We start from the raw sequence: 8,595 nt of genomic DNA, 5'->3' as shown, positions 1-8,595 counted from the left end.
CCCAGAGCCTCTCGTCTGGCACCATTTGTGGCACTAAATAGAAATGCGCTACAGAGCCGTGGCGGCTGTGTGGAGCTGATGAGGATTCAGGAGGCTGTGCAGCTCTCCAAGTGGTGATTTTCTAGCTTGTATATCCTGTAGGGGGTTAATTAACCTCCTCAAGTATACTATTCTGGCTGTTTCATCACTAGGGGATATAATTTAAGGTCACTCTGAAGTGAAGTGAAGACAGCAACAACAGCTGCAGCCTTTGTTATGTCGAGTTTGGGAGCTGCTGTGCAGACCCCAGCCCCACACTGCATCATGTGCAAGCACTATTAATAAACCAACAATGGGCGCTTGAACTGGTGGACAAGTGTCTTCACTGAGCACGTACCACTGGGTTAGGGAGCAAGTCCTGTATCATCTTTGCCACAGACACAGGCTTCTCCCAGGGACTCACTGCCCCCCCTTGTAACATTCCAAAGATAAACTCCAGATTTGGGACCATGATAATCTTTTTATTTTTTGTAGCCCCAAACCAGTTCTCTTTCCACCAAACCTACACAACCTCTATTTCCATATCAGCAGCTGTAGTTCACTTTGCACAGTGCTTTGCTATAAAGTTGGGCACGTATTAAGTTTTTGTAAAGCAAGTCATATTTCAAATGCACTAGGTGACTTTGAAATTCTATTCGTTCTCTATTGCTGTGTAACAAATTAACCCCAAAACGTAGTAGATTAACACAATCCTAAATATTTATTATCATCACGATGTCTGTGGGTCAGGAATTCAGGAGTGCCTTCGCTGGGTGGGCCTGGTTTGGGGACTCCGATGAGGTTACGGTCAAGATGTCGGCTAAGGCTGCAGTCATCTGGAGGCACTGCTTCCAAAATGGCTCATTCACGTGGCCTCACTGTCTCCCCACTAAGGCCTCTGAAGGCTCTTGAGTGTCCTCACAAGGCTGCTGACATCCTCCACGTGAGCAGCCCATGGACAGCAAGCCAGGCCAACACTGTCCTTTTTATGACCCAGCCTCAGAAGTCACACAGGATGGCTTCTGCCACATTCTATTCACTGGAAGAGAGTCAGTCACTCGGGTCAGCTCACATTCAGGGAGAGGGAATTAGCTCCACTTTTAAAAGGAGCAATGTCACAGGATTTTGAACATGTTTTTAAACCACCAAACACAGGTGGATCCTTCATTTGGGATCCACCAGTGCCTGGTGGTTTTAAAGGATATGGGTGAATCCTTCATTCATTTAACAAATATTTACTGAGCACCTACTACACAACCACACTGCTCTAGACGCTTGGAATACATTCTGGACAAAACTGGCAAAAGTCTCAGCCTGGCCCTTGCGGACTTATAGTCTAGTGGAGAGATAGAGAATAAACAATAAGCATGAAAAGTACATTTAATACTGTGTTGCAGGTTCAAGTGTGCTGGAGGATGGAAAGACCAGGGGGAGAATCCTGGAGTCAGGTTATAATTTAAATTGGGCCATCAGACTTGTCCTCTGAGAAGAGAGAGTAGCAGAAAGCCATCTGGAGCAGTCATGGGCCATATTGTGTACGGCCTCTGCCCAGGCAAGGAATGACCACCAGGCCCAGCTGTTCCCTCTGAACGCTGGTCATCATTCCCATGCTCCCTGCTGGGTGCAGATGGGGAGAGAGGTTTCTCCGCTGTCCACTGGAGAGCTGCCAGCATTCCCCACCCCAGATCACCTGGAGGAGAAAGCGCTTCTGTGGCCGTCCTCAGCTGCATGGCCCACATGACTACTTAGAGGCAGCTGCTGTGCACACCAAGGCTGCTGCAGGGGGCCTGGGCCCCCCACACCATGCTTCCAAGGGAGAAAGACACACAACTCTCTCAGCTTTAAAGAGGTCACATAAGGAGGAGCAGCACTTTTGCCACGCTGAGTGTGTAATTTAGTATTTAAATCAATCATGGTGTTTCTATGACTGGAGGCCAGCTGCCGGCCACACCCCAACAGGAGCTGCCCAGCCCAGGGAACAACAGAATTTCAAAGATCCCTGAGTCGTGGAAGGGAGGGAATTGGAAGAAGACATTCCAGACTTGGGTGTGGCCAGGGGAGTCAGCACACTGCTGGACTTGGAGAGTCTTTCAGGAAACACTTGCTGACGGGCAGGGGTGCCGGGCAAGCTGGGGGAGCTAGGGATGAAGCAGTGTGGGGTGGGTTCCGGCGTGAGGAGTAGGGGCAGCACCCAGTTCTGATTCAGCCATCCAGACACAGCCGAGTGGTCTCAGGGCAGGTGGAAAGAGGGGTCCGTTTACACGTGAGCTGCGTGAACCCTCTCCAATGGGGCGGTTAGTGACCTGAAGAATGCGGTGACTAAGACAGCTGGGACAAAGGCCACCCCTCGATTTCCCATATATTGTACCTGATGGAGAGGGACCCTATCCCAAGAGGAGAGACAGTACAGGTGCACTGGCTGACCGAGGCATTGGCTGCAGGGTCAAGGAGATCTGTGCATGTAGCAAGCGTTGGTGACATGAAGAAGCCCCGGATAGCAGAGCTACATACAGAGCTGTGTTTTAAGCCCGTGGAGCCCGAAGGTCAGCAGCACAGCGTGCAGAAGCTGAGTTTCACCATGGAGTACACTCAGCCCCACTCAGAAGGCGATGCTGCCTAATGGTTACAGCGCAGAGGCTGGGTTGGACACAACCAGATTTGTATCCTGGTTATGCCATTGACTAGCTGTGTCTCAGAGAAGTTTCTTATCCTCTCTTCAGTCGCAACTTCCTCACCTGTCGGGGGGAGAACAATTCCCACCCCACAGAGCTGCTAAGAAAGTAAATGAGGTAAAATACTTCACATAGATCCTGGCCCCTGGGAAGTAGTCAGCACATAGTTGCTATTTTTATTGTTGCTATTTTTACAAATGTTGTGGAGGGACAGCCGCTGTGGGGCTTTGTTTGGTTTTGTTGCCCAGCGTCTCTTCCTTTGTAGAAACAGTTCCTCAACGCCCCCTCCCACAGATACATGGTTCTGGTGTCCAGCTAATCCCAGGACTTGGACCCCTCGTGACAGGGGACAGGCAAGTGACCAAGTTGGCCAGTGAAAATCTCTCTCCCAGGGACTGGAACCCTACACACAGACAGACAAACGCAGACACACAGGAAGTTAGCTGGCGCTGAGTCATCCCGGGACAGGGAATTCCACGCAGTTCCCGGAGCTGCTCCTCTTCGTCCCTCACAGGGTCTGGTGTCCAGCTCGCTTTCCCAGAGTTTGGGCTTGGCCAGTATCCCCCCAGTGAGCCCCTCATTAGCATCCATCAGAGTCAGAGTCAGTTTTTACTGTTTACAGCCAAGTGTCCCTGCCTAACAAAACAGCCATGGGGGAGCCGCCTCTACAAAGACGGCCATCCGAGTGGGAGCCAGGGACTCAGAGGCTGGGGGAGGGCGCGACCTTCCCACTTCCTCTCCGCCCTCTTCACAGGCCATCGTGAGGGCTTCTCTGGCACTTTTTTTTTTGAGGCAGAGTCTCGCTCTGTCACCCAGGCTGGAGTGCAGTGGCACGATCTCGGCTCACTGCAACCTCCGTCTCCCAGACTCAAGCAATTCTCCCACCTCAGCCTCCTGAGTAGCTGGGATTACAGGCGTATGCCACCACGCCCAGCTAATTTTTGTATTTTTAGTAGAGAGGGGGTTTCACCATGTTGGCCAGGCTGGTCTCAAACTCCGACCTCAGGTGATCCACCTGCCTCAGCCTCCCAAAGTGCTGGGATTACAGGCGTGAGCCACCATGCCTGGCCTCTGGCACTCTTTTTTAAATGTATTTAATTTTTTTTATCACGGTAATATGTGTACTTAATTGTGAGATTCAAATAGTAATAAAGAATGTTGGAGGCTGGGCACAGTAGCTCATTCCTGTAATCCCAGCACTTTGGAAGGCCAAGGTGAGAGGATCGCTTGAGTCCAGGAGTTCAAGACCAGCCTGGGCAATGTAGGGAGGCCTCATCTCCACAAACAAATGTTTTTAATTAGCCTGGTGTAGTCCCAGCTACTTGGGAGGCCGAGGTGGGAGGATCACCTGAGCACAGGAGGTGGAGGCTACAGTGAGCCATGGTCATGACACTGTACTCCAGCCTGGGCAACAAAGTGAGACCCTGTCTAAAAAAAAAAAAAAAAAAAGAAAGGAAGAAAGTTGGAATAACTGGGTAGCCATCTGGAAAAGATGACGCTGGACCAATATATGAGGATAAATTCCAAATTGATCAAATATTTAAATATAGAAAATGAAAACTTAAAGTCACTGTAAGAAAACACAGATGAATGACTTTATAACTTTTTTTTCTTTTTCTTTTTCTTTTTTGAGACGGAGTCTCACTCTGTCGCCCAGGCTGGAGTGCAGTGGCCCGATCTCGGCGCACTGCAAGCTCCGCCTTCCAGGTTCACGCCATTTCCCTGCCTCAGCCTCCCGAGTAGCTGGGACTACAAGCACCTGCTACCACGCCCGGCTAATTTTTTGTATTTTTAGTAGAGACAGGGTTTCACTGTGTTAGCCAGGATGGTCTCGATCCCCCAATCTCATGATCCTCCTGCCTCGGCCTCCCAAAGTGCTGGGATTACAGGTGTGAGCCACCGCGCCCGGCCCAACTTTATAACTTTTGAGTGGAGAGGGTCTTTCTAATTATGACTCAAAATCCAGAATCTATAAAAGAAATTACTTGTAAATATGACTACATATGAATTGAAAACTTAGCAGAAAACAGTAGCAAAGACAAATGAAAAACTAAAAAAAAAAAATTGCAGCACAAAAGGTTAATTTTTCTAAAATACAAAGAGCTCATAAAAATCAACAAGAAAAAAGCCAAAAACCCAGTAGGAATATGGGTAAAGGACATAATAAAAGAGTTCAGAGAAAAGGAAATTTAAATGGCTCTTAAACATTTAAAAGATTCTTTACCTCGGCTGGGTACGGTGACTCATGCCTGTAATCCCAGCACTATGGGAGGCAGAAGTGGGTGGATCATGAGGTCAGGAGATCGAGACCATCCTGGCTAACACAGTGAAACTCCGTCTCTACTAAAAACACAAAAAATTAGCGGGCCGTGGTGGCGGGCGCCTGTAGTCCCAGCTACTAGGGAGGCTGAGGCAAGAGAATGGCGTGAACCCGGGAGGTGGAGCTTGCAGTGAGCCGAGATTGCGCCACTGCACTCCAGCCTGGGTGACAGAGCCAGACTCCGTCTCAAAAAATAAATAAATAAATAAAAAATAAAATAAAATACAAAAAATTAGCCAGGTGTGGTGGCCTGTGCCTGTAGCCCCAGCTACTTGGGAGGCTGAGGCAGGAGAACTGCTTGAACCCGGGAGGCAGAGGTTGCAGTGAACCAAGATTGTGCCACTGCACTCCAGCCTGGGCGACAGAGTGAAACTCCGTCTCCAAAAAAAAAAAAAAAATAAATATGACTCTTAACCTCACTCATAATACAGAGAGTTCTTTCCTCATCCGTCAGATTGGCAAAAACCCAAAAGTTTGACAACACATTCTTCTGATAAGGCTATGGGAAAACACTCTCATACAATTCTGGTGGGAGAATAAGATGGTATGACCCCTAGAGAGAGCAATTAGGCAATATCTATTGAAAGTACACATGTGTTTGCCCTTTCGCCTTTGGAAATTAATCTTACATCTATATTTGCACACAAACAAAATAACGTATGTATAAGGTTATTCATTTCAGCACTTTTGGTACTAAGACTGAAAACACACCAAAATACTAATTAAAACAAAAAAGCCAAAGACTTGTTTAAATTTTTTAAAAATCCATCCCCTGCTGCATCTCATCCTTATCTCCATTTCTCAGTTTTCAATTTAAGCATTGCCTGCTGACTTTTTTTTTAATATGGAACAGAAGTGTGTAGGGATATTATATATCCCCCTGACTCCTACTGCACACACACAGAGCTATACTCACTGTCTTCATTTTTCCAAAATGATTACATTGTATTTTTTTGTTAAGTTAGTATTCAGTACTTGAATATTACAAGTATTCAAATATTGTTTACGATTGAAACACATAGTATGGCATGATTAACATTCCGGTTTTTTTTGTTTGTTTTTGTTTGTTTGTTTGTTTTTTGAGATGGAGTCTCGCTCTGTCACCCAGGCGGGAGTGCAATGGTGCTATCTCAGCTCACCTCAATTGCAAGCTCCGCCTCCTGGGTTCATGCCATTCTCCTGCCTCAGCCTCCTGAGTAGCTGGGACTACAGGTGCCCGCCACCATACCCAGCTAATTTTTTGTATTTTTTTAATAGTGACAGGGTTTCATTGTAGCCAGGATGGTCTCAATCTCCTGACCTTGTGATCCGCCCACCTCGGCCTCCCAAAGTGCTGGGATTACAAGTGTAAGCCACCATGCCCAGCCTTAACATTCCTTTCTTAAAACATTTTTTTGGTCCAGAGTTAATAGTTGCCTTGTTTTCCATTTACCATTTTAAATGTATTTATTAATAACGATTCCTTCAAATATCTTATATATCACACATTTTGAATCACCTGTCTGTTCCATTTTCCCCTAGAGATACTACTATGATTACCCTTCATGTTATTGATCTACTATACACTGATGCCTTAATCCATTTTCTATTTTTGTAACAGAATACCACAGACTGGGCAATTTATAAAGAAAGGAATTTTATTTAACTCATGATTCCAGAGGCTGGGAAGTCCAAGAGCATGGCACTGGCATTTGGTGAAGGTCTTCTTGCTGTGTCATAACACGGCAGAGGGTATCACATGGTAAGAGGGCAAGAGTGTGCCAGCTCAGAACTTCCTTCTTCTTCTTTGAAAGCTACCAGTCCCATCACGGGGGCCTCTGATGACCTCATCTAATCCTAATTACCTCCCAAAAGTCCCACCTCTAAATGCCATCAACATATGCATTTTGGGGTTAAGTTTCCAACACATGAAATTTGAGAGTCACATTCAAACCATAGCAACTGGTTTCCTTCTAAGCATACTGCATAGCTGCCACCTTAAAATCTATCTGTACTTTCATCCTGAGAACTTCCTTTGCTCACTCCATCTCACATGCTAAATCCACTGTGGGGTCTGGATCCCAGGTCTCGTTGATTCATTCATTCATTTTGGTAAAATAGATCCTCTAGTAGCTTCTTAAAAAAGGGCACTCAAAAAAGTTTCTTTTGTGTGTATGTGTAGGGATGGGGTTCGTTGTTTTTTCTTTGTTTTGTTTTTGAGACAGGGTCAGCCTTCCAAATACCTGGGACTACAGGCACATGCCACCATGCTTAGCTAATTTTTGTTGTTGTTGTTTTGAGACAGGGTCTTACTCTGTCACCTAGGCTGGAGTGCAGTGGCAAAATCTCAGCTCACTGCAACCTCTGCCTCCCAGGCTCAAGTGATCCTCCCACCTCAGCCTCCCAAGTAACTGGAACCACAGGCATGTGCCACCACACCCAGTTATTTTTAAAATATTTTTTGTAGAGACAGGGTTTCACCACAGTGCCCAGGCTGCTCTCAAACTCCTGGGCTCATCTGCCTCAGCCTCCCAAAGTGCTGGGATGACAGGAGTGAGCCACTGCACCCAGTCCAGAAAAAAAACTGAGGCCCTGCATGTGTGAAAATGCCTTCGTTATACCCTCACACTTGGTTGTTACTTTGGCTATGTATACCAGCTAGGCAATATTTTTTTCCAAATGCTCCATTTCCTCCCAGCATCCATGTGGCTGTGGAGGAGTCTGATGCCATTCTATTTCTGTCCATTTGTTGTGGCTTGTTTCGTCTCTCAGGAAATCTCTAGGAATCTTCTCTTCATTCCTGATGCTCTCAAATTTCATGATAACGTGCCTTGATTTTATTTTACTCTTATTAATTATGTTGTTTGGGAACTTCATGGTATCTTTTCATTATGACTTTCATGTCCTTCAGTTCTGAAAACGGTTCTCATAGTACTCTTTTGATAATTTTCTCCCCTCCAGTTTTCTTTGTTCTTTCTGAATATGCTATCAGTTGAATGTGGAACTCCTGATTCAACCTTCTCAATTCCATATTATGTCCCTCCTACTTTCCAAACCTGTGTCTTTTATTTACACTATCAGATTTTATCAACTTTCTTTTTCTTTTTTTTTTTTTTTGAGATGAAGTCTTGCTCTGTCACCAGGCTGGAGTGCAGTGGCTCGATCTTGGCTCACTGCAACCTCTGCCTCACGGGTTCAAGTGATTCTCCTGCCTCAGCCTCCCGAGTAGCTGGGACTACAGGCACGCACTACCACGCCCAGCTAATTTTTGTATTTTTAGTAGAGACAGGGTTTCACCATGTTGGCCAGGATGGTCTTGATCTCTTGACCTCGTGATCCGCCCGCCTCAGCCTCCCAAAGTGCTGGGATTACAGGCGTGAGCCACTGCGCCCGGCCGAGATTTTATCAACTTTATCTTCTAAACTTTCCTTTTTTTTTTTTTCCTCCATCTGTCACCCAGGCTGGAGTTCAGTGGCACGATCTCTGCTCACTGCAACCTCCGCTTCCTGGGTTCAAGCAATTCACCTGCCTTAGCCTCCCATGTAGCTGGGATTACAGGCACACATCAACACACCCCGCTAATTTTTGCATTTTTAGTAGAGACGG

The 8,595-nt window shown here is 46.5% G+C and overlaps 1 annotated feature.

The window, feature by feature from the left end:
* Positions 1,682-2,881: an enhancer, noted in NCBI's record as "P300/CBP strongly-dependent group 1 enhancer chr8:102038939-102040138 (GRCh37/hg19 assembly coordinates)". NCBI's record gives its function as "activates an origin of replication core promoter dependent on BRD2, BRD4, P300/CBP, MED14 and CDK7 cofactors, with strong dependence on P300/CBP, by STARR-seq in HCT116 cells {active_cell/tissue: HCT116}" and the evidence as "EXISTENCE:reporter gene assay evidence [ECO:0000049][PMID:35650434]".

Source organism: Homo sapiens, chromosome 8 (genome assembly GCF_000001405.40).
Source record: "Homo sapiens chromosome 8, GRCh38.p14 Primary Assembly".
Classification (NCBI taxonomy): Eukaryota; Metazoa; Chordata; class Mammalia; order Primates; family Hominidae; genus Homo; species Homo sapiens.
The sequence above is the reverse complement of the archived record's forward strand: the minus strand, read 5'-3'. Positions and strand labels throughout refer to the sequence as shown.